This window comes from Homo sapiens, chromosome 6, assembly GCF_000001405.40.
Source record: "Homo sapiens chromosome 6, GRCh38.p14 Primary Assembly".
NCBI lineage: Eukaryota > Metazoa > Chordata > Mammalia > Primates > Hominidae > Homo > Homo sapiens.
Genome location: NC_000006.12, coordinates 79029633 through 79054637, shown reverse-complemented (window position 1 = coordinate 79054637; position 25005 = coordinate 79029633). Strand labels below are relative to the sequence as shown.

Here is a 25005-nt window from a genome sequence, read left to right as displayed (position 1 = left end):
TAATATATAAGTTAACAGTTACATATAATTCAGCAAATTATAGGATATAATATATGGGGTTTTTTTCCTGTTCACTTATCTTTTTCTAATATGCTATATTCAGTGTTTTTTCTTTCCATTTTCTTACTCAATCCATACTTTATTCCTAGTTAGATATCTACTCATCACTTATTTAAATATATTTATTTTAACCTATTGTTTCTCAGTAACCATTTTTACTTTTAGAGCTCATTTTCTGTTTTTCTAGTCATAATTTTAGTCTTATAAAGGTTTTATACTTCGCTTTTTTTTTTTTGGTTTAATGATTGTTGACTCAGTTATATTCTTTTTTGTCTTGGTCTTTGTTTTTTAGTGTTTTCCCTGAATGATCTTCATATTTCTATTTGACACAGGTTTTGTTGTTTTATTAACTATTTTCTCCCTAGCCCCTCCCCTGCCTTTCTATTTCCTCCCTTTTTTTTGCCTCTTAAAAACAGGTTAGCTGTGAGAGACTTGCAAGGTGTATTAGCATTTTTTTTTTTTTTAGGGAAATAATGTTCATTATGCCAAAGTATCAGATGTACAAAATATATATTTATTTATTTTTTCCTCTGCTTAAATTTCTTTTGAAATTAATGGTTGACAAAAAAAAGGGGGCAAAACTTTGAAGAAATGAAACTCCCTTAGGTGAGTTTAAATTGTTGCTTTTGTAGCTAGCTGTGTTTTAATTTCTTCTGTAACTAATAGGATAACATTTGTTTTTAGGTTATAGATGTGATGAGGGATATCCCCTCCACTTCATATAAACCATCTGGCAAGCAATTCCAGTAGTAATTAGGAATCACTAGCCATTTTCCCTTTTAGTTTGCATCACATATTTTTCCAGAGTGATTATTGGGTTTGATTTTGTTGAATACTCATATCTGTGTAGGTGAAGCAAATTATGATATTATTTTCTCATAAGGTCATGACTTTTTATTTTGAATTTCTTCAGGGATCCTTTAAAGTTACGTATTCAGTGTTTTCTTAGACATCTTTTGGACCTGGGAAGTCCATGATCAGATCAGGCTGAATAGATATTTTTATAAACAAAGGAATAATTTGTTCAGCTCCATAAGGAAGCCTCGGGGAAAATTGGGCTCCAACAAAAGTCTTTTAAAAAGTAAAAGAAAACTATGTTCAGTTAAATTAACTTTTATGGCACATGAAGATTTGATTGTTTAGGGACAGTCCATATCAATGTTAGTATAAAATACCTTTGAATTTGCAAAACATTTTGTCTCGTCTGTTTTCTATAGCAACTCTTTAAGATAACCCTACATTTTTAATTTAATTTTATTCTTTTGAGATTGAGTCTCGCTCTGTTGCCCAGGCTGAAGTGCAGTGGCGCAATGTCGGCTCACTCCAACTTGCTCCTCCCAGGTTCAAGCCATTCTCCTGCCTCAGCCCCTCAAGTAGCTGAGACTGCAGGCATGCACCACCACACCCGGCTAATTTTTGTATTTTTAGTAGAGACGGGGTTTCACCATGTTGGCCAGGCTGGTCTCGAACTCGTGACCTCAAGTGATCCACCTCGGTCTCCCAAAGTGCTAGGATTACAGGTGTGAGCCACCACACTCAGCTGATCTTACTTTATTAATGAGGAAACTGAAGCTTAGAAAAGCAGTAACCAATGACATTATATCTCTGTTTTTGTGTGTATATGTATGCATGTACCTCAGATCTTATGCTTTTAACTTTATGTCACATTTATATAGCACCTTTTTGCCTTCTCTGTGAAATTCTTTATGTGTTAATGTGCCAGCTCTGTCCATTTGTTGATTTGGTAATAGCAGGTGTTTGAATTTTGCCTCAGTATTTGAACTCTAGAAACAATGAAACATGGTGTGTTCTTTTCAAGTTTTTATATAGTGCCAGATACTTATGAGATCAGGTATTTAATTCCTTGGGAAAGTGTTGATAATTTTGGTGTCAAGCTGATTAAATTTTTTCTAAAATGAAATTTTGTTTTCAGAACCCTTTGATTTTTTTGCAAAGTTAGCTTTTGCTTTTACTTATATCCTTTCCAATTCATTCTCATTGTGGTCAAGAGAAAACTGCAATGAGTTATCCCAAAGTAAATCTTACTATGTATATTACTCCATTCTTTTCTCCCCCAAAACTTCAACCCGTTATTACTGGAATTTAGTCCAAAATACCTAACCTAGCTTAGAAAGCACTCTATATAGTCCGCTCCCCTACCTTCTCAGTCTCTTCTCTTGACACTTGCCCTTTCTCTACTCTGTGTGCAAGTCAATCTTGACTTCTTCATGTTGCTTGAATGCTATGCTCTTTCCAGCCTCAGGCTATTGCACATGCTGTTTCCTCAACCTGGAATATGCTGCGCTCACATCAGCATTCTGTGGCTGTTCATTTTTCAGGTCTTAGTTTAAATGTCAGTTTTTCAGAGAAGTTTTCCCAGACTCCCAGATATCCACCCCTCAGCCCCAACGTGTTTAGAACCCTTTTGCTATATATTTCAAGATTTCCCTATACCTTCTATTTGATAACACTTAACATTGTTGTAAGTCCTTGTTTCATGTCTTTCTTCCCTGCTAGACTGCAATCTCCATGAGGGTAAGTACCATGTCTTTTCTTTTTCCCTCTTATTCTCTAGCCCATATTTGGCTCATATAGGTGCTCTATAAATGTTTGTTGACTCAAAATTGAGTGATTAAAATGTTTGACATTAAAAAAAACCACCTAACTTAAAAAATGTTTATTTAAAAGAAAAATAAATTGTTATTAAAACAACTGTAAACATTTTAAAATATTTAAAACTGAAAACATTATGTCATTGTGTGTTTTCTACTTGAACTAGCATCAGACTGGTTTCCAGGAAATAAAATAGGAGGAAGATTAAATACTATTCCTAATAATTATCATATCTACCCTTTTTATTAGTGCTCTTAATGTAGTTGGTTCATGAAATTTTTTGCTTACTTCTTGGAATCATCATTTTCTGTATTTTATTTCAGTTTAGTATTTGGGTTTTCCTTTTCAGACATTATGCATCTTTATGGTATCTGCTAAATTTTAAAAACATAGTATGTTTCAAACAGGAGGTGCAACTACACACCAAAATTGAATATCTAGAAATCTGGAAAGTAGCTGCTGTGCATACTGATTATTTTAGTTATAGTATTAAAGCGAAGAGAGAAGCTATCATGGGTGCTATGTTGCTCAGGTGACTATTTCCCCTTACTCTTCTATTCCCAATACCTGCCCTCCTTTTTTTGTAGACAAAAAGGTGACTACAAGATTATCTTTTTATATTGCAACCCAGTTCTTTGTACTTTAACTGAAATTGGGACTATCATTCATTATAGTTACTATTACGGTGATTTATTTGTCCTGTTTCTATGTTGGTTGGTTGCTACTTGCTGGTACAGTATGATGTAGAGACCAGATGGTACTGTAGGAGTAAACCAACCTGTGTTGAATAATTTCCCAGATTAATTCTGGCCCTCGAATTATGAGTATTTGGTTGTCATTACTTCCTTGATACCCGTGTTAATAACAGGTCTTTCCATTGTGGCTCTATAGTGAATTAAACATTCCTCCTTATATGATTCCCTCCGAAACAAAATTGAACCTGAACTATCTTTGACATGTTTCTCTTTTTGTTTAAAAATTCAGTGGGAAAGATTACACAAACAAATCTTACAACAAAGTTGATGGCCTGCTTTGTAGTATTATCTTACAGCTTTCAAATCAAAACTGATGTGAATTATTTCTTTATAGCATATCATTTTTTCAGTCCATTTTCAAATACGCAATTGTCATTCTCTATAGCATAATATACATTCATACACTGTAATATGCTTAGGCATTAGTGTTTCTTTTTTATGATTAAATAAATTTAAATTCCTTGCATCTTTATCTCTAGGTTTATTTTTGTCAGTCTTTGAATTTAAGCTAGTCTCTTTAGATATTTTAGAGTTTTCCTACTGCTTTTTTGAATTCCTTGAGGTAGATTGAGTTATAAAAAATTAGAATGAACGTATGCTCTATAGAGAAAGTTTGGAAAACAGAACAGCTCAAAAATTAATCAGTCTCACTCCTTAACTGCTGTACATACTTTGGCATGTTTTCTTTCAGTCTTTCTTTTCTAATATTGATCTGCATAGGCAGCATATAATAGTTAAGGGTACAGTCTTTGGCACCAGACTGCCTGAGTTTAAACCTGGGCTTCACCTCTAGTAAATTACATTTTATCCTTTGGTTTCCTTACTGGTAAGGAATATCTGCTTATTGGGAATAATGGAAGTATCCACCTCAAAGGATTAGGGAGGATTAAATGAGAATATATGTAAAATATTTAGAATAGTGCCTGGCATGTAGTAAAACACTCAGTAAATACTAGCTGTTATTCTCTAAATTTGCTACACGTCGTAAGAGTGTTCTGTAGCCTTTTTCCTCTCCTTGTTATGTATTGTATGGTGACATTTATACCCACATTATTAATTGCAGCAGATAAGACTTTTTTTTTTTAATCGTCAGATTCTTGAAGTCCTAGTAAAAACCTCTCATAACTCTAAACCATGGTTGCTTTCCTCTTCCTTTATAGCCATTTTCTCAAGGGTTTGATGCCTGGCTTTAACGTAACTTCTGTTAGAAAATTATGATTAGCAATTTTTTTTTACCCTCATATTTCCTTTTCATTAAAACACTTTTGTGGATCTCTAAAATGAGCAACATTTCAAGTAATTTTATGCCTTATTAAATACTTTATGCCACACAATACATTTATCTGATAGAAATTCTGAAATCACCAACACCATATATAGACAACTATTTGGACTTGTAATGAACTAATGAACTTGGAGGGTCATTTTTATAGACATTACTCTCTGATGTCTAGTCATGAATATAGCATTATTTTCTTGGAAAATCTAATTATCATCTAAAATTGGAGATGGCACATATGAGGGGTAAATCAGTTTGGAATTTGTTTTCATGTACTCTTAAGTTACTCAATTTTAGTGTCATGGAGTTCCAAACTGTTGTTTTACAGTGATAGTTATTAATCGTATTTGTAGAAAGCCAAAGCCTTTATTAATACAGATGGTGGAGATTAAAATGAAACCTGTTACTGATTATTTAGAAGTTACTCCCTTTTATATTTTAATTTAGGAATCATTTCTGTAGTTGTTAATTATAAATTATAATTACTTTTGCATTTTATTTACAGAAAACCTGGGAGCTTTCCTTCCAAGTGTTTTCTTTAATTAGAATCACAGAATAAAACTAGTCAAGACCAGCCATGGTGGCTCACGCCTGTAATCCCAGCACTTTGGGAAGTTAAGGCAGGCAGATCACTTGAGGCTGGGAGTTCGAGACCAGCCTGACCAACATGGTGAAACCCCGTCTCTACTAAAAATACAAGAAAAATTAGGCATGGTGGTGCACACCTGTAATCCCAGCTACTCAGGAGGCTGAGGCATGAGAATCGCTTGAACCCAGGAGGCGGAGGCTGCAGAGATTGTGCCAGTATACTCCAGCCTGTACGACAGAGTGAGACTCTGTCTCAAAAAAAAAAAAAGTAAAACTAGTCAAAAGAGGATAAAAAATGAATTAAGTAAAATTAATGAAAACCTTCTCATAAAATACTGATGCGTCTTGTCTGAGTACCCCCAATTCTGCAGCAGAAAAGGCCCAAATTTTACTGAGATACCTTCCGAGTTACATATTCTTGTGCCTCCTCACTTAATTCTTCTACTGTATAAAAATTGGTTCTCCAGGTTTTAGAATCTACAGCTACATGCTTTTCCTTGCATTTCATTAGGCTGCCAGCAGGGCTCTGCTTTCATGAGTTGGCAGAAGTTGTAAGCACTGTTTTTGTGGTCCTCCATTTCTGATTAAGAGGGAACAGCTTTCCTACACTGGAGTAGGTATTATATAGCATATTATATTGTTATTAACAGTTAGAAAACAATAATAACAAAAAACACTAACCTTTGTATTTTGTTAATTCATAGTCATTTTCATTTTTTTCCAAGTCATCTTTTTTAACCATGGTTAATTTTGATCTTGGGTAATTTATTGCAGCTTTATCATGTGTGCTTGTTCATTTTACAAAGATCTTTGCAAAAGGAGAAAAAAGTCTAAACATTTTGTAGGGAGGTAATGGTATTTCTGCTATAGTACTTATTTGCAGGGTTTTTTTTATCATGTATTTTTCTAGTGCCTTCAAAAATGTATTTACTAAGGTTATTACAGATACTCTTTTATGGCAGCTACCTTTTTCTTTCTTTGTGAACTTGGTTCAAATGATGTAGTGAGAGAAAATGAGGTAACTTTATTATGTTTATCTTTTTAAAAAATCATCTGCATTGAAAATTTGGGCCCAACAACAGGAAGAAAGCACCATGTTCTAGATAGAAAGATGTCAGTTTGGTAGTAAAGTTAAATTTACATTTCCAACAAAATTTTGTAACTTTCTGTTTATTTTCAAAATTAACAAATAATAAAGATACAACATTTTTACGTGGACTTATGAGAGGAATACCCAAATAAATATTAAAACATCATTGATTGTAAGATTAAAATTTTGGTATTGGCATATAAATAGACTGTCAGTCATGTCAGTGGCCCAGCACAGAAAAAAAAAAAATACATATGTATATATAACCATATATACAATAATGTAATCAAAATTTAATAGAAAAGAATTATTTAGTAAATGGAAAGGCTGGAACAAATAGTTACTTGAGGAAGAAAAAATAATCTTTAGAGACCTCATAATGAGTATTATAATTGTAGATGGATTAAAGAGTTAAGTGAGAAATCTAAACTACAAAAAAGTAAAAGAAAATGTAAGTAGATGTTTATTGTACTGTTGGGCTGAGTAGGAGAACTTCATATTAAAGCAGTAGAAGATATTAATATAATTGACTGTGTAAAATTTGTGAAATTGTGGGGTGTCAAAGAACAGCATAATATGAAAGCCAGGTATATTGTGGTAAATGGAAATGTTTCTCTAATAATGTAACTGGAGAAATTAAAGTTTAGAACGAGTAACTTGCTTAAAGTCTCCATAGTGACAAATTTGAACACAGGTCTGTCAGACTTAAAACCTCTTATTTCATTAAGGAATACAACATAGCTGTTAAAATGCTGTTTTTGAGGTAAACCTTTGCGAAATTTTAAAAGTGATTGCTATAGACAATAGAATTATGGGTTTTTCTTTCATTTATGTTCTTTTCTAAATTGAATATGCATTAGTATTATGATTGGATAAGTAAATCAGTTCTCGAAAAATAACTAGGTGTGAAGTAAGAAGTGACTTATGGGGGAATTTGACTTATTATCCTAGCACCTAAAGAAGTAATGGATGAGAACCCAAGGGCTGAATATGCGCATAGTCACATCTAATGTTTAAGAAGTTGTGGGCCTTTTGTTGATCTCTACTAATTGGCTTTGTAGACTTGAGCACATATACTTTATTTCAAAGGCTGTTCTGAATGATTTGCTGCAAATGACATGCTTCAGTATTTTGCTCCTTTTTTACTTCAGACTTTATTCAAATGGATAACAGTGATTTCTGGAATTTTTATTTCATTTATCCTCTATATTCAGAAAATTAAGTGAATACGTTCTCCCCTTATTTCCCAATTAAATTCATTTAGCAGGGCAGTTAAAATGAAGCACTATTTAGAGATATTTTGAATATTTTAATCTGTGAGATAAATCTTCCTTTTTTTTTTTTTTTTTAATTCTTAAACCTAATTTGTTGTTGTTTGAGATGGAGTCTTGCTTTGTTCCCCAGGCTGGAGTGCAGTGGCATGATCTCAACTTATGGCAACCTCCGTCTCCGGGGTTCAAGCTGTTCTTCTGCCTCAGCCTCCCACATAGCTGGGATTACAGGCACCTACCGCCACACCAGCTAATTTTTGTATTGTTAGTAGAGATGGGGTTTCACCATGTTGGCCAGGCTGGTCTCGAACTCCTGACCTCAAGTAATCCACCCACCTCAGCCTCCCAAAGTGCTGGGATTACAGGTGTGAGTCCCTGTACCCACTAAACCTAATTATTTTTGTTAATATGTAATTTATTTGTTAATTCACCAACCTGTGTCAGCTCTTAGGCTAATCAGAGAACAAAATAAAATCCTGCCCATGTGAAGTTTGTTATCTTGTAGTAGGAGCAGGCAGGAAATAAGCAATGAATATAATAAATAATTAAATAGGTCTGGTAATAAGTGATAGATGAAGAGCAAATATAAAGCTGAATAAAAGGGGATCAGAAGTTATGGGTGATGGCAGGGGCTGTGTTGCTATTTTCAGTGGGCTGGTTAGGTTAGGCTTTATTCAGAAGGTAACAGACATCTGAGAAAAGACTTGAAAAGGTATAAGGGAATTAGCCATATGTGGAAAAAGACTTCATGAAGAGGGAACAGCCAGTGCAAAGACCCTAAGTTTGGAGCACACCTGGTGTGTTGGAAGAACAGGAGATTGGAGTGGCTGGAGCAGGTCAAGGCGAGAAGTAGCAGGTAAGGTTAGAGATAATGGGAGATAAGTTTCTGCAGGGCCGTCTTAGGCTGATGTATCAGGAAGTTGGTGTTTATTCTGAATGAAATGAAGAGCATTGCAGTTTTGAACAGAGGAGCAGTGTTGTAGTGCAACCAGTTAGGATGCTTTTGAAATCTTCCTAGAAGAGGTTGCATTTGAACTGATCCTAGAGGATAAAAAAGAATTTGCCAAGTGAAAAAAGAACAGATTTGCTTTGGGAAGCTTTATTTAAGAATAGTTTCTATCACTATACTTATGAAAATAAATGTACTTTTAAATGAAAGTCATATATGCTTCTTGATTTAAGGTTAAATTATAATGTCATATAAAGAATTTATCCTTTTGTGTCCCCTTATCTGTTTAACCATGCTCATTTTAAAAATTGATGTTCTAGCTTAATAAAATTTAAGGACTTCCAATAATCCAAGAGACATTTCCTTTTTACTCAAATTAATTGGTCTCTTATTAATTTCTTTAGAAAGTGAATAATTGCCATTTGCCCTTCTGCCATAAAACTATAAATTAAATTGAACCATCTTGTATATCTTATTATTAAGGAAGATTTACTTATATACTTTTTTAATTTAAAAGGCTCTATACTCAAGTTTGAGAAATATAAGAGAATTTTTGTCTTTAAGGTACTTAAGATCTGATAGGAGAGATAGACATTTTCCAAATGGTATTATAAAAAAATGGGAGTTCATCGAATGTGAGTCCTAGCTCATCCTTCTATCTTTATAAAAATTATCTACCTATTTGATATGGTCAAGCCTTCCTCAAATTCAACCTCTTCAGTTGTACAACTACTGAACTATACTTACATTTTCTCCTTTAAATCCTATAGTTAGAAAGTTTGAACCACCACCTTATTACCTGGGAATCTACGTATGTTCTTTCTGTATGTCTTATTTTTTAGTGCTGTTAACACAAGTTTGTCAATGTTTGAGAGCCAGGACTCTGCTAAGTACCTTTTCTTTCAGAATATAGTCATAGTATAGATAGCCAATAGTTAATTGGTAGCTAAGCATTACAAAGGGTAGTGTGGAATATAGTTTTAGCTATAAATATGTTTCACCTAATGTGATTCTGGAAAATGTTGCTTGAAAATTTGACTGTAAAGTAACTTTGAAAAGGTTATTCTTTTTTTTCAATTGGCTTCCAAAATGAAAATAGATTTAATCCCAGTTTAGGTCAAAGATTCAGTAAAACCTGTGTTTAAGAAGCAGTAACATTTTCTTTTAAGAGAAGTAGTTTTTGCTTATAAAATACTTTATCATCTCCGATTTTTAGATGGTCTTTATAACAAATTTATCTTAAAAATTCTTACCTATATACTAATGCTTAATCATCGAGAAATGGGTCTTGATATATTATTTCCAACAATGATATTTTCACACCTGAACACTGTTAGTTTCCTAAAATTCGACATTTTGGAAATTTTGGATAGAGGGAATTAAAGTACACCTTGGTAATACTATCAATGTTTTTGTGGCATGTCATCACTTATTTTCTTACAACAGACAGCTGAGTCTGAGATGTGAGTGATCCTTGGTGTTTGGATAAGATGATTTTAATTCTCATTTGGCAGGAAAATTGATGTCTATGGTTTTTGTGTGATTCTTGCATTAAATAAGTTTGGAGCCAAAGCATTGGAGGATGTCTTTTACCAGGCCATTCCTGGGCGTGAAGAAAATGTGTCTGGGGTCTAAGCTATGATTGAAACTTATTGAGTCTCTGTTAAATTGGTATATAACCAACTTAAGCCTAAATATGCTAATTGACAACTGTCAAACCTTGTTTTAGAAATTCCCAAGTGTTGGGGTAGATTGTTGCATAGAACTTACATGCTAACAGCAAGAGAAATACTGTATCAGAATATAAAATTATTGCTGTGATGAAAGAACATATAAGCATAGTGTAATTATTCTTTGAAATATTACTGCTTAGGAACCTGTAAAGGCTATATATCTCCTCACCAGGCCCAAAGATTTTTTGGGGGTTTGGGGTGGGGGCAGCGGGAGTGTGGAGTGGTTGGAAATATAGTGTGAGCCAAACATTTATTGGATGTGAATAATATAAGCAATACTGAGATTCTTCATAATACAACCAATATATTTATGTTTTATCAACTTTAGGGCATAATTACTGGGCTCTGTACCTTGGCTAAGTAGTATTTTGTATATATATTTAGTTTTCTTTAGGGCTAAATTCGACCGAGAAACCCTAGTGCTAATTACCCAATGTAGATGGCAGTCACTGTTAGAAAAAAAAAAAAAAGCCTGTATTAGAAGATCATCTGTAGGTTAATAATGTGCCTGCAGATCAGTCAACATATATTTATTGAGCACCTTCTTTGTCCATAAGTTACCAGTATAGAAAATAAGTACAGTAGTAATTTAGATGGAAGAGGACATTTTCAGCTGGAGTCAATGTATCAAGCTTTGGGACAGAAGATAAACTTCAGTCAGATCTTGAATAATGATTAGAATGAATGAGTTGAAAGGGAGAACTAAGGGAGAGCTAATAGATTCCAGAGAAGGAATCATTATACAGGTGTTTGGCAAGATTCCCAGTTTAATTATTATTTTTTAATAATGCAAATGACGTATTCCTTTATCTTCACTTGTTATAAAGATGTTTTTAAATATCATTCTGCATGTCAGATTTCGAGTGTTCAAGTGTTACTGATTTATGAAAAGTACACTGGGTTCCAGTTTTAAGTGCCTTTGTAAGAAAAACTATTTCATAGACAGCTTTTAAGGAAATAACATATAAATGCTTTAGGTTTTTAAAGAGCACTAGCCAGAGAGTAAATAAATCTGAGCTTTAATCCTAGCTTCATGCCTTACTTTGTGATTTTTGGACAGGTCATTTAACTTACAAATTAAGTTATAAAGTGAGAATGATAGTGCCTGACTTATTTCAGGTGAAACAATGTTTTTATTCATTACTTTAAAGACTTTTAACTAGAAGCCATATATATCAGAAAGCTTCTTTATTTTTACCTGCACATGACAAATTGGAGTATGTGAATTCTTAAAAGGTGATCATGTAAGAAAATTAATTTCCAGATTACATTTATTTTCCTTCTTTTTCTTGGTAGCGGATACTCTGTTTTCAAGGAAGCTGAATGGGAAATACAGACTTGAGCGACTTGTTCCAACTGCAGTGTATCAGCACATGAAAATGCATAAACGAATTCTTGGACACTTGTCATCTGTGTACTGTGTAACTTTTGATCGAACTGGCAGACGGATATTTACTGTAAGTAATTGCTAAAGTATTATTTATATTCATATATGTAATTGAGGAAATATTGCTTATAGGTGAACTTGAAGTAAAACCTTGCTTTTTTTTCTTTTAATAGGAAACCGGAAATTCAGGTGGTTTCACTTACTCTAACAGAAGAGTTTAGTTAAATTTGGACTTTATCCAAATTCAGAAAGTTTCTAAATGACATGTTGCAGCACAGTCACAGTTATTATATGGTTGTACATCATGAATAAGTATGGTTCTCAACATATATCAAATACACAGTTTGACATTTTGCAAAATGGCATAAAATAATTTTAATTTTGAACTAAGGACATCTAAGTATGTTGAGAGATTATTAAATGTGCCTTTTTATAATTGTATGAGATTATTGAATATACCTTTTTATATTATCTGTAGAAAATCACTTGCTTGTCTATGAGAAATTTCCCTTAAAATAGTGATTTTAAAAAAGCTAAAAAATTCTGAGCATATCTAATACTCTTATTACCTGTTATTCTTAACAGTTCATTCTTCAAAATATCTGATGTTTTGTTTATAGAGCCTCTTTGGGTTTGTTTATTTGTTATTGTTTCTTGTAACCTGTTGAATAGAGAAAAGCAAAGCTTTTGAGCTTTATTTTAAGTGAGAAAATTACTTTTGGAAATATTTGATTTTCAGGTGCCTTAACATCTACATTCATTAAGCATAATACTACACTATTATGATGATATTTATTATTAAACACTACCCTGTGGGCTGAAGGTATGCATTCATTCACAAGGTTTTTAATTTCTTTTGAAATAAGAAAATTTGAAGTGGAAGTTAAATGGAAATTTTCCTGTCTTTGAAGAGAGCAGCTGTGAATTTTACGTAGTTATGACAATTATAGATTCCTCTTTTTAGTAAATTTGCTTGTAAACTGAGACCTATTTATACCTACTACTTCTCCTCTATCCATACACCCAGTCATCTGTAAAACAGCTAAATAGCAGGATGTAGGAATGCATTTTTATACTTTTCTTTTCCCTTGGCTCTAATCTACCTCAGGCATTTGCACATCACTTCTTATATCAGTATTTTCCCTTTTTACGTTCTCTTGTATCAAGTATTATTTTCAGAGTGGAAAATAGGCATCTCTATATTTGCTGAAGTGCCTGACATACCTACAGTAGTAATTTGCTCTCAAATAGTAATCGAAAATTAATTTAGCCATTCAAGTTTAATATGGGTATATTCAAATTCACCTCTCAAAAACCTTAAGTAAATTTGATTTTTCTAATGTTTGAAAGAATTCTTTCAAAAACAGTAATAAATTAAAATAATGAAAAAGGAGCACTATATTGTGCCAGTAGGTCAGTATAAAGTTATGCCATTGTAAAGAACCTTGTAGGAATTCTTTCTTTAAAAATGATAGGGATTGTAAGCATTTGTTTATCATATTTTATGAAGCATTTTACATGTTTTGATATTAATTAGACATATAATCTCCTGGAATTTTTTTAGGGAGAATGCAGTGAAATAGTGTGCTTTTTGCTATCTCATGAGTGTGGTAGGTACAGACTTGGAAGAGCTTTTTGAACCAGGGTTCAGCATGCTGCTGCCTGCGTCTCAAACCCAGTTTGTCACTTGTTCTTATAAATGCAATTTTATTGAAACACAGGCATGTTCAGTTGTTTATATATTGTCTATGGTTGCCTGTGCACTACAACAGCAGAGTTGAGTAGTTTTGACTGAGAACATATGGCCTGCAAAGCCTAAAATATTTATCCAGCTCTGTACAGAAAAAAATTGCTATCCTTTTCTAGACATTTGATTCTTTCTTTTAAGGGCATGTGATTTAGAGAACAAGAATAATATGCGAAGAGGAAGCTGCTTGTTGGTTATTTCTTTAGTTGAAAGCACATCAATTAAGAGAAGAAAAGTAGCACTGTACTATTTTATATGGTCTTACCAAAGTCTAAAGATGTTTATTTTTTAAGAATGTGATAGAATTTGTTTTGCTAAATTCAGTCTCATTTGTAATTTTTTACTGGTGGTTTGGAGTTACAGATTTCAGAATGTTACCTTACAATAAGAAATAACGAAGATATGAGGGCACTATTTTTTTGAAAAATTCTTGTATTTTTATTATTTTCACTTCAAGTGGTGGTAGGGTACACATATGTTCACTATTCATATTGCTCATTAATAAAGTGGGTGCTGAGTGTTTTTTGCATTTCACTAGGCACAGACTAGACGCTAACTAGTCCTATGGAAATCAGTCTTGAAAATAGATAGAATCAGCCTTTAAGATAGTAGATCATGATTGACCAGTGAAACACTCCTGTGAGAGAACATACTGTTATTATTTTTGGAGGTAACAATTTGGTAATGGATCAACCAGTATTTCCTTTTTATATAATTGGTATTTTAAGACCTTGCAGATTTATTTCTAAGATATTTGTGTATATATATTTGAAAGCTTTTTCCAAGGGATTCTCTTGAGTCCTTTCTGAACAGGCACAGCTGGAGGCATACAGTACTGTGGTTAAAAGCATCAGCTTTGACATCAGAGGGCTTTTAGTCACAGCTTTACCACTTCTACTAGTGAAACTTTGACAGATTACCTCATCTCTTTAATCTCCAGTTTTCTCATCACCTAAAGAGAGAGGGGAGTAGATGATAATAGTACCAACCACATAGGATTTTTGTGGGATTACATGAAATAATGCATATAATTAGTACTGAACAAAATAGAAAGCAGTCATTAGGTTTTTCCTACTGCTACTTATAGATTTAAGTAAATTTTATCTTTTATTTTTTATCCAAATAAAATCTTATTTATAAATGGTATACAAGAATTAAAAAGGAAATCATTGTAATTGATAATGAAATTCTGTATTAGGAAAATGTATCATTATTTTGTATGACAGTATTTTAAGAATGGGTGCTTTCCCAATTATTTTAATGAGAAAAACCCAAGGAGGGAAATAGCATAATTGCCAAGTCAGATTTTGTTCACTAATTCTCTTTTAGCCTTTTAATGTTTTTTACTTGGTTTTAAAATCATTTCCTTAAGTGACATTTAACGGAGAAAAGCAGAGTTAATGAATTTTCACAACTAAGGCACTCAAAAGTACATGGAACGCCATATAAAAAGCAGAGTTTTCCCCCCTTTTCAGAAACATAAATTGTCTCTCTGATTCTAATTAATATGGTATAATAAAGAAAATGAGTTTATGCATTCCTTTAATGAACTTCAGAGTTTTATGAACCAGCCACTGTTTTAAGCAGTTGGGATATAGAATTGAAAGTAGTATTTGTTCTTGGAGAGTTCACAGATGGTAAACAAACAATATTGATATAATGTGATAAAACCTTGACAGAAGGTGTACAAGGTACTGAGATACCATAGGAGATAAAGATACCTAATCCAACCTTGTGGTAGGAGATGGTAAGGGAAATTTACTAGAGAAGTAACAGCTTGGTAAATTTAGGAGTCGAATTGGATATTGCAGACTTAGGGAAAGGCAATTACAGACTTTGGGAGAATGTAACATGCAATTGTGTATTAATGGATATGGCATAGAATAAATATGGCTCATCATAAAGAACTAGCGATATTGGTGTGGTACAAAATCAAGATACTTTTGTGACCTGCTAAATAGTGGGTTTCTTTTCTGAAGGCAATGGAGAGCTAATGATTGATGTGGTTAGAAGAGTGAGGAGAATTTTTCTTTTCATTGAACCCTTTTGCATTATTGTAGAAGATGGATTCAAACTAACTCTATATACAGAGAAATTGGCAAAAAGTTTCTGGCAGTGATCTATAAAAGAAATCAGGGATTAAACAGTCACAGTGGGATGGAATTGACAGATTAAAAATAGGATTTGTAAGACTCGAGAGACTGATTTGTATGTAGGGAGTGAGATGGAAGAGTATAGGATGACATATTTTTTCACTTCTGTGATTTAGAAAGTCCTGTCATTTACTGTGGTAGGAATTTAAGGGGAGAAGTTTGTGAAGGTGAAACGTATTGACTTTGAGATATCTATGTGGAAAGTCAAGTAGAAATGCCCAGTAGGCAGTGGGAACTCAGATTTAGGTGAGAAGATTTAGTTTAGGAATCATTCAGCTTGGAAAATGGAATACATTATCTTGTATGTATCTAATGTAAGAAGGCTGAAACTTCAGCTTTTAAAAAAGCAGACAAAAGAAGAGTCAATAATTGAGACAGAGAAGCTGCCTGAGAGGCTAGGGGAAAAAAAAGAAGAGTGGTGTCTTAGAAGCCAGGAGATGAGAATTTCATGAAAGGCAGAAACCTAAAGTAAGATTAGTACTGAAAAACATCCTTTGGGTTTGTCAAGGTAATTGATGACTGCTATGGTCTGAATGTTTCTGTCCCCTCAAAATTAATATGTTGAAACCTAATTAATCCCCAATGTGGTAGCATTAAGAGGTGAGGGCTTTAGGAGATGAGGCCTCAAGAATGGAGCCCTTGTGAATGGGATTAGTGCCCTTACAAAAGAGGCTCAGGGGAGCCATGTAAAGATACAGCTAGAAGGCACTATCTTTGACACACAAAGAGAGCCTTTACCAGACACCACATCTACTGGCACTTTGGCCTTGGCCTTCCCAGCCTCCAGAACTGTGAGTAATAACTTTCTGTTTACAAATTAACAAGTGTCTAAGGTATTTTGTTATAGCAGCTCCAACAGACTAAGACCAAAAAATGTTCTGTTTTAGCATTGGGGATAGGAATGAAATTGCAGTGCAGTGAAGAGGGAATGGGAATTGAAAAACTGAATACACTTAATATAAACTAAACTTTCAAAAACTTGACAATTAAAAGATATGATAGTCTGTATTCTGAATGTGGAGTACTGCCGCTTAACTTTGTGCTTCTAATACATTGTATTTTCCTATTACATTGCCATGACAGATGTCTGTTTTCCTATTAAGTTGTGAGCTTTGTCTTTGCCTTTGTTGTTATTTTTTAGATCTGTAGTGCCTTGCAGAGTATCTGATGTATACAGGAGGCATACCACAAATGATGAATGAATCAAGCAATTTGAGATATAAAAATGACTAATGTCCATTCTTGCAGAAAACTTAGCATCTGTTAGGGGAAATACATACAAATATCTGTAAGATAAGTTCCTCTCTGCTACTGTACTTCGGTTACACTGATCTCTTGTACTTCAGACTTGGAAAGCCCATTTGTGGCTTGAAGTCTTTGTATTAGGACTTTGCCTGGGATCCCCTTCTCCAAAGTATTCATGTGGCTGATTATTATTATTATTTTTTAATTAGCAGATAAAGACCAGTAGAAGATCTTAGTTTGAAGATCTTGCAATATGTCCCCCAAAGATACTAATCAATTAAAGAGCAAACATTGCAAATTTATGGGGAAAAACCTTGGAAATACTAATGTAACCATGTTAACTTCACTAGCTCTGGGATGTGTTGACGTTGTGTTCTCAGAAGTGATGCGCTGAGAAAAACACAGCTTCTTGTTTGTGGGATTACTGTAAAAGATAATATGACCTGGATCTGGTCATGAAGAAACATTGACAGACCTAGGTTTTGGGTCATCCTGCAGATTGTAAGGCCTGTATTCTTTATAACCTGCTGAGGACATGAAAGAGAAAGCCTGAGAAAGTATTCCAAATTGAAGGAGCCTGATGAGACATGTCAGTTAAATATAGTGTATATGGGTTTGTGGGCCAAAAAGGAAAAGAGAACATTGTTGACAAAACAGTTGACAAAATTTGAATAGGCCCTGTAGATTTGGATGTTACCAGTATTGTTATTGGTAGTGTTATCAGTATTGATTTCCCAACTTACATAGGGAAATATCCTTGTTTTAGAAAAATATACACTGCGATATTTAGAGGTAATGGGGTATCAAGTCAGCAGCCTTGCTTTTTTTTTTTTTTTTTTTTTTTTTGAGACGGAGTCTTGCTCTGTCACCTAGGCTGGAGTGCAGTGGCACCATCTCAACTCACTTGCAAGCTCCACCTCCCAGGTTCATGCCATTCTTCTGCCTCAGCCTCCCGAGTAGCTGGCATTACAGGCACCCACCACCACGCCTGGCTAATTTTTTGTATTTTTAGTAGAGACAGGGTTTCACCATGTTAGCCAGGATGGTCTCGATCTCCTGACCTCATGATCTACCCGCCTCGGCCTCCAAAGTGCTGGGATTACTGGCGTGAGCCACCGCGCCTGGCCCAGCGTTGCTTTTAAATGGTTCAGAAAAAAGATTAATGGTAATGGAGTTATGTGTGTATGTTATATGGAGAGAGAGGGAGGGAAGAAAGGTGGTAATGGAGATATGGGAAACATTTGTACTGTTCTTGAAACTTTTGTACGTTTGAAATTCAAAATTATTTTAAGTGCATAGGAGGTTGTTTAGAAGCAATAGTGAGCATTTAGCATGTTTGATAATAATGGAAAAGAGGCAGAGTATGGTCATTTAGAGGACAGTAAATTGTAGGAAAACTGGATTGAGAGGAAGAAACTACTAAGATAGCAAATTTGAAGATACGAGAGGAGATTATTGATATGTAATGATATTTAAGGAGGTGGGATGTATACAATAGCAGTGTGGACTTTTTAGAAAGGTAGTTATTTGGTCCACAATTAACAGTTTCTACTTTTCAATATGAAATGTTCTGTCTGGCGAGAGTCTTGTTTATGGATTCTAGAAATTACTGATAAAGCTTGGCAATAGAAGAGTATTGAATAGAGACAGGAAAAATGATTGCTGATAATGCTTAGCCTACCCAGTAAATAGGAGATTCATGAATTCGTAGTGTTGTGGAATTAGTATGCTTATATTCCTTACCGTAATGTTTCTTGGCATCCTGGTAGCAGTATCAGAGCAAGTGATGGTTAGATTGACACCGGGTTGGTCATTGGTGGTATAGATGAATAAGGGTCGAGAATGAAATCAGACATGTGTTGAAATGTTTGACCCTGAGGTTTAGGTTGATTTGTAAGGGAAATGAAACACAGGTCTGATAGATTGGTAAGAAAGAAAATAAATGACCTAGAAAAAAATTGAACCAAATTTAAATTGTACGCAATTTTTAGTTTTGCTAGAAAAGCAGGTTACTTTTTAGCTTGAATAGGAAAATGAAATTGTAGTAAATATGACAATACAGACAACATTTTTGGCATTCATTTCTACTGCTTATTCTAATGGCAATAAGAGATGAGATCTCTGACTCAAAAGCTGTAAAGTAGCCTCAAGAGAAATTAAAATTCTCCTTGTTGACTCTGCCAGATAACAGTAGGTTTTCAAGGAATGCCAAATTCTCTAAGATATTTTTAGTTAAAAAATCACATAATTTCTTTTATTTTCATGTCAAAGTAGTAATCTTTGTATAATTTATGCCTCTCTTTTAGGTACATAGGTCAATATTTTAATTTTAAGGTTTCTCAAGTTATCTGAACAGAAGTAAACTGTTTCCCAATGTGTACAGTTTTCTGCTTGTGTTATTGAGCAGAGGGGGCTTGCTGCCCAGTGTACTAGAAGCCAATACTATGACACTGGGTTTTTGAGAAAAGAAAAGCTTTATATTGAAAGTCAACTCCCAAGAAGACTCAGGGGTCAAGCTCAAATCTGTCTCCTCATGCTGGTTTCAAGGCAGTATTTTTATTACAGGTTCAGTAGGGGTGAATTCTGAGATTAGTAGGTGTTTGGTGGAAGGAAAGGGGAGGTCTGGAATGTCCCTGGGCATGCACAGTTAACTCATTATGATACCTCATGGGTCACATGTGCAAATTCTAGGGTAGTTAGTATGAAATGTGGTAGATAGTCAGGCTATGATGTCAGCAAGCTTGTTCTGTGCAGACTCCAGTTGGCCATCTTGGTTCCAACTGATTTCAGCCAGTTCTATCTCATAAGTAGAGGGAGTTTCAGTGTTTGGACAAGTTGTTTCTTAGTTGCCATCCCGCACACTCAAAGAATATTAGTCATTCAGTGTTAATCAATGTTAGTCGTTGATTTCTTTAACTCTTTGGGGCATGATTTCACTTAGAGAATTCAACCATTCCTTGTCATTTATGCTGCTTCCTGTAAATTACTTTATTACTGAACAGAATTGTCCTCTCTAATTGTCTACTTCATAGTTTTGCAACATCTGGGCCTAAATTGACTTCTTGGCCTTGCATAGAAAGGCCTGTATTTCATTTATGTAGTCAGAGTATCTGTAAATAAGCCATACCAGAAAGAGCTCTATCAAGTTGTTCTGAAACTTAGCTTTTCTTTAAATAAATAAATAGTTCAATTAGGCCTTTTGAAGCTTAACCTCTGGAAACTCATTAAATTATTAAAATTTGGGGGCATAGACTTTAGGTGCTGTTTGGTTTCTGCATCGAATTGAAGTGATTCATGGCCCTGTGTCTGAAGTTGTTTGAAGTTTTCATGGCAGTACGTAGGCCATTTTTTTCTGGATTTTGAGGATAATTTTAATACCAAAGTGCCTAACAGTAGAAAGCCACGTCATAAAGACCTGTGGAACTTTTCTTCATGAGAACATTAAAGTCAAATGTGTTACTAGACACTGCCTAGGCTTTATGAAAAATGCTAATACAGACGTACCCTGTTTCATTGTGCCTTTATTGCATTTTGCAAATACTGTATTTTTTACAAATTGTATATTTGTGAAAACCCTGAGTAAAGCAAGTCTGTCAGCATCATTTTTCTAACAACATATGCTCAAGTCTTGTCTCTTTCACATTTCGATACTTCTCACAATATTTCAAGCTTTTTCATTATTATTATAACTGTTATGGTGATCTATAATCTCTGATGTTCCTATTGTAAGTCTTTTTAGGGTGCCATGACCTGCACCCTTATGGCGAACTTAATGAATGTTGCATGTGTTCTGATTGCTCCACCAACTGGCCCTTCCCCATTTTTCTCTCCTTGGGCCTGCCTATTGAAATTAATCCAATTAATAACCCTACAATGGCCTCTTAGTGTTCAAGTGAGAGGAAGAGTCTCAGGTCTCTCACTTTAATTCAAAAGTTAGAAAAGATTAAGGCGAGTGAGGAATGCATGTTAAAAGAGTTAGCCAAGTTGTGAATGTAAAGCAAAAGTTCTTGAAGGAAATTAAACGTGCTACTCCAGTGAGCACACAAATGATGAGAAAGTTAAAGAGCTCATTGCTGATATAGAGAAAGTTTAAGTGGTCTCTATAGGAGATCAAAACTAGCCACAATACTCTTTTAAGCCAAAGGCTAATCCAAAGCAAGACCCTGACTCTTAATTCTGTGAAGGCTGAGAGATGAGGAAGCTACATAAGAAAAGTTGGAGCTAGCAGAGGTTGGCTTACGAGGTTTAAGGAAAAAAGCCATCTCCATAACATAAAAGTGCAACGTGAAGCAACAAGTGCTAATGAAGTAGTTGCCGCAAATTATCCAAAAGACCTAGCTAAGATCATTGAAGAAAGTTGCTACACTAAGCAATAGATTCTCAATTACAGGTGAAACAGCTGTGTATTGGAAAAATACATCATCTAGGACTTTCATAATTAGAGAGAAGTCAATGCCTGGCTTCAAAGCTTCAAAAAGCAGGCTGACTCTTTTGTTCAGGGCTGATGCAGCTAGTGACTTGAAGTTGAAACCAGTGTCCATTTACCATTTTTTAAATTCTAGGACCATAAGAATTATGCTAAACTACTTTGCTTGTGCTCTGTAAAGGGAACTACAAAGTCTGGATGACAGCATATCTTTTTATAGCGTGGTTTACTGAATATTTTAAGCCCACTGTTGATACCTACTGCTCAGAAAAAAAAAAAGATTCCTTTCAAGATATTACTGTTCATTAACAAGATGCCTGGTCACCCAGGAACCCTGATGGAAATATACAAGGTGGTTAGTGTTGTTTTTATGCTTGCTGACAATACATTTATTCTGCAGCCTGTGGATCAAGGAGTAATTCTGATTTTCAAGTCTTATTTAAGAAATACATTTCATATGGCTGTAGCTGTCATGGATAGTAATTCATTTGATGGATCTGGGCAAAGTACATCGAAAACCTCCTGTTTCACCTGTAATTGAGAATCGATTATTATCGCCATTCTAGATGCCATTAAGAACATTCGTGATTCTTGGGAGGAGGTCAGAATGTCAACATTAACAGGAGTTTGGAAGAAGTTGATTGCATCCCCTGTGGATGACTTTCAGGGGTTCAAGACTTCAGTGGAGGAAGTTAACTGCAATAGCAAGATAACTAAAATTAGTAGTGGAGCCTGAAGGTCTGACTGAATTGCTGCAATCTCATGATTAAACTTAAATGGGGGAGGAGTTGCTTCTTATGGATGAGCAAAGAAAGTAGTTTCTTGAGATGGAATTTACTCTTGGTCAAGATGCTGTGAACATTGTTGAAATGAAAACAAAGGATGTGGACTATTACATGAACTCAGTTGGTAAAGCAGTGGCTTGATTTGAGAGGGCTGACTCCAATTTTGAAATAAGTTCTACTGTGGGTAAAATGCTGTCAGATAGCATTCCATGCTGCAGAGAAATCTCTTGTGAAAGGAAGAGTCCAATGGATGCAGCAGACTTCATTGTTGTCTTATTTTAAGAAGTTGTCACAGCTACCCCAACCTTCAGCAACTCCACCCTGATCAGCCAACAGCTGTCAGCATCAAGGCAAAGCCCTCCACCAGCAAAAATATTACTACTTGCTGAAGTTTCAGATAATTAGCATTTTTTAGCAATAAAGTATTTTTAAGTTAATGTATGCCCATTTTTTAAAGACATAATACTATTGCACACTTAATACACTGCAGCATAATGTAAACGTAACTCTTACATGCACTTGGAAACCAAAAAATTTGTGTGGTTTGCTTCGTTGGAATACTTGCTTAATTGCAGTGGTCTGGAACTGAGCCTGCGGTATCTAGGAAGTATGACTATATTTGTTTTTATTTGAGTCTTGCCTCTGAAACTTTTTATTTTGAAGAATGTTGAAGTTTTTAAAGGGATTTACAAAATCAGAACTTTTTTTGGATATACAGAAAAAAATACTAATTGCTTATAGTAAGAAATCCAGCTGCATGCTGAAAGGAAAAGTAATTGGTACCATTACCTCCATACTGTAAAAGTACTAGAAGAAATAACAGTGGTTACAAAGTAAATATCTGATGCTGTTTTCTTCCTTCATCCTAAAGTGCAGAAGTGTGTTGACTGTTTTTAAGGCACATTTCTTTATCATAATATGTGTGTTTTTTTCAGGTGTGGCAGTAGACTAAGCTAATTTTAGAGTACTTGAAGCCAAATTGTTAGGATTGGAAAAATGTAAATTTTGTTTAATTCCCACCCTTTCTCAACACACTTTCTCATAAATAATATCTATGCTGTTGTGTTTTCAAGTATAGAGATGTACTCTTTTAGCTTCCTTGGCTTCATCCTTTGATGACAAGATTGTCTTGACTTAAAAAGAAACCCTGTAAATTTGGTGTCTCATTTTGTTTTGGGATTTAAATAAGCTAAGGGCTATACAGATTTGCTTGAGATTTTTCCAGCTTATGCTAAGTTTGATATAAACAAATGATAATATTAATGAGCACTCTTTCGCAGTAATTATAACCATTTTACATTATTGAAAAATGAGGCTTGGTGTGATGGCTCATGCCTATAATCCCAGCACTTTAGGAGGCTGAGGCAGATGGATCACTTGAGGTCAGGAGTTTGAAACCAGCCTGACCAACATGGTGAAACCCTGCCTCTACTAAAAATATAAAAATTAGCTGGGTGTGGTGGCGGACGCCTGTAATTCCAGCTATTCTGGAGGCTGAGGCAGGAGAATCTCTTGAACCTGGGCTGCGGAGGTTGCAGTGAGCCGAGATCGCACTACAATACTCCAGCCTGGGCGACAGAGGAAGACTTCGTCTCAAAACAAACAAACAAACAAACAAAAAAAAACAAGAAAGAAAAATGAAACAAGTGATTTACTACTCTCTTATCTTTGTGATTAAACAATAGCACAATAATTTGATTTTAAAATGAATTATAAAAAAGATTTTAAATTTTGTACCCACCCCATGGATTTCTTAAAACCTGTTCATAGTTTTCCAGATAAAAATCTACACTAAGTGGTCTCTCTTCGTAATCTCATCTGCTATCATTGTTTTGACTACTATGGTATAAACTGATAACACCCAGATCTCTATCTCTAACCTAAACCTCTTCTTGTAGCTTCAGATCTATTACTCACATAAACATTAGCAGGATCTGGCTAAAATACTATAGTGACCATGTCTTGTCTGCTTACAAATTGTCTAGTGACTACCTCAGCAGGTTAAATACAAACTCTTAACAGGCATTTAAAACTCAATTATCATTCTTAGGTAAAACATTTCCAGCATAATCACTTATTTTCACTTACACTTTGTACTTTCAAGTTTTCTTACTTTGCCAATTCCTAGCCCGAGCAGCAATCCCCAGCAACATTGAGATGTTACTGAAAAGAAATGACTACTTAGTTTTCCCTTGAGTATTGGAGCTTTGCTGAAAAAACTATGTCAGTTGAGGTATTTCTAACATCATGCTATTTAAATTTAGCAGGTCTTTAATTGTTGCTTGCAGAATTTTTCCACCTTTCTTACTGCTTTTATTCCACTGCATTTCCAAACTTTCTTCACTTTTTTAGTTCATTCGCTTGTTGTTCTCTCCCTCTCACTTTTAATCCTCAGATTTTGTTTTGTTTTGTTTTTGCTGAGGTTACATGATCTCTCCCTACTTCCTTTTCTTTCATACACCTTAGAAGAGGTATATCTTATGTCATTGCCCCTTTTCACCATTTACGTAACATTATTTTTAATATCCATAACTTGGTTTTAACATTTTATTTTTCTTTGGTCAAAAGACTATAATATCTTACTCTTTGGCTTATTGATCTTAGTAACATTCGTGGAACTAGAGGTAGGCTTATGGAAAAGAGAGTGTATCCGTTCAAATTATGTTAGACATTTTGGTCTTTTTTAAAATAATCATATTTATCGATTTTTAATTCATTCTTCCTCATTTATTTAAAACACATTTATAGCCTGTAATCCCAGCACGTTGGGAGGCCAAGGTGGGTGGATTACTTGAGGCCAGGAGTTCGAGACCAGCCTGGTCACCAGGGCGAAACCCCATCTCTAGTAAAGATACAGAAATTAACTGGGTGTAGTGGTGCACATCTGTAATCCCAGCTACTCAGGAGGCTGAGGCATGAGAACC

The 25005-nt window shown here is 34.6% G+C and overlaps 1 protein-coding gene and 1 long non-coding RNA gene across 5 annotated transcripts in view, besides 1 other annotated feature; one reads left to right on the top strand and one right to left on the bottom strand.

Annotated features, from left to right (window-relative positions):
* Positions 1-25005, top strand: part of PHIP (PHIP subunit of CUL4-Ring ligase complex) — a 143836-nt gene that overhangs the window by 23617 nt on the left and 95214 nt on the right. For all 4 annotated transcript variants that reach the window (XM_005248729.6, NM_017934.7, XM_011535918.4 and 1 more), the window contains one exon: positions 11635-11795. In XM_005248729.6, coding sequence (XP_005248786.1) covers positions 11635-11795 — 161 coding nt within the window. The remainder of the gene's footprint in view (positions 1-11634; positions 11796-25005) is intronic.
* LOC124901346 (uncharacterized) overlaps positions 1-25005 on the bottom strand; it is a 73415-nt gene that overhangs the window by 22629 nt on the left and 25781 nt on the right. The window lies entirely within an intron of this gene.
* Positions 7094-7700: an enhancer, noted in NCBI's record as "OCT4-NANOG hESC enhancer chr6:79756655-79757261 (GRCh37/hg19 assembly coordinates)". NCBI's record gives its function as "activates a minimal SCP1, AML or CMV promoter by ChIP-STARR-seq in primed H9 embryonic stem cells {active_cell/tissue: H9 hESC(primed)}" and the evidence as "EXISTENCE:reporter gene assay evidence [ECO:0000049][PMID:30033119]".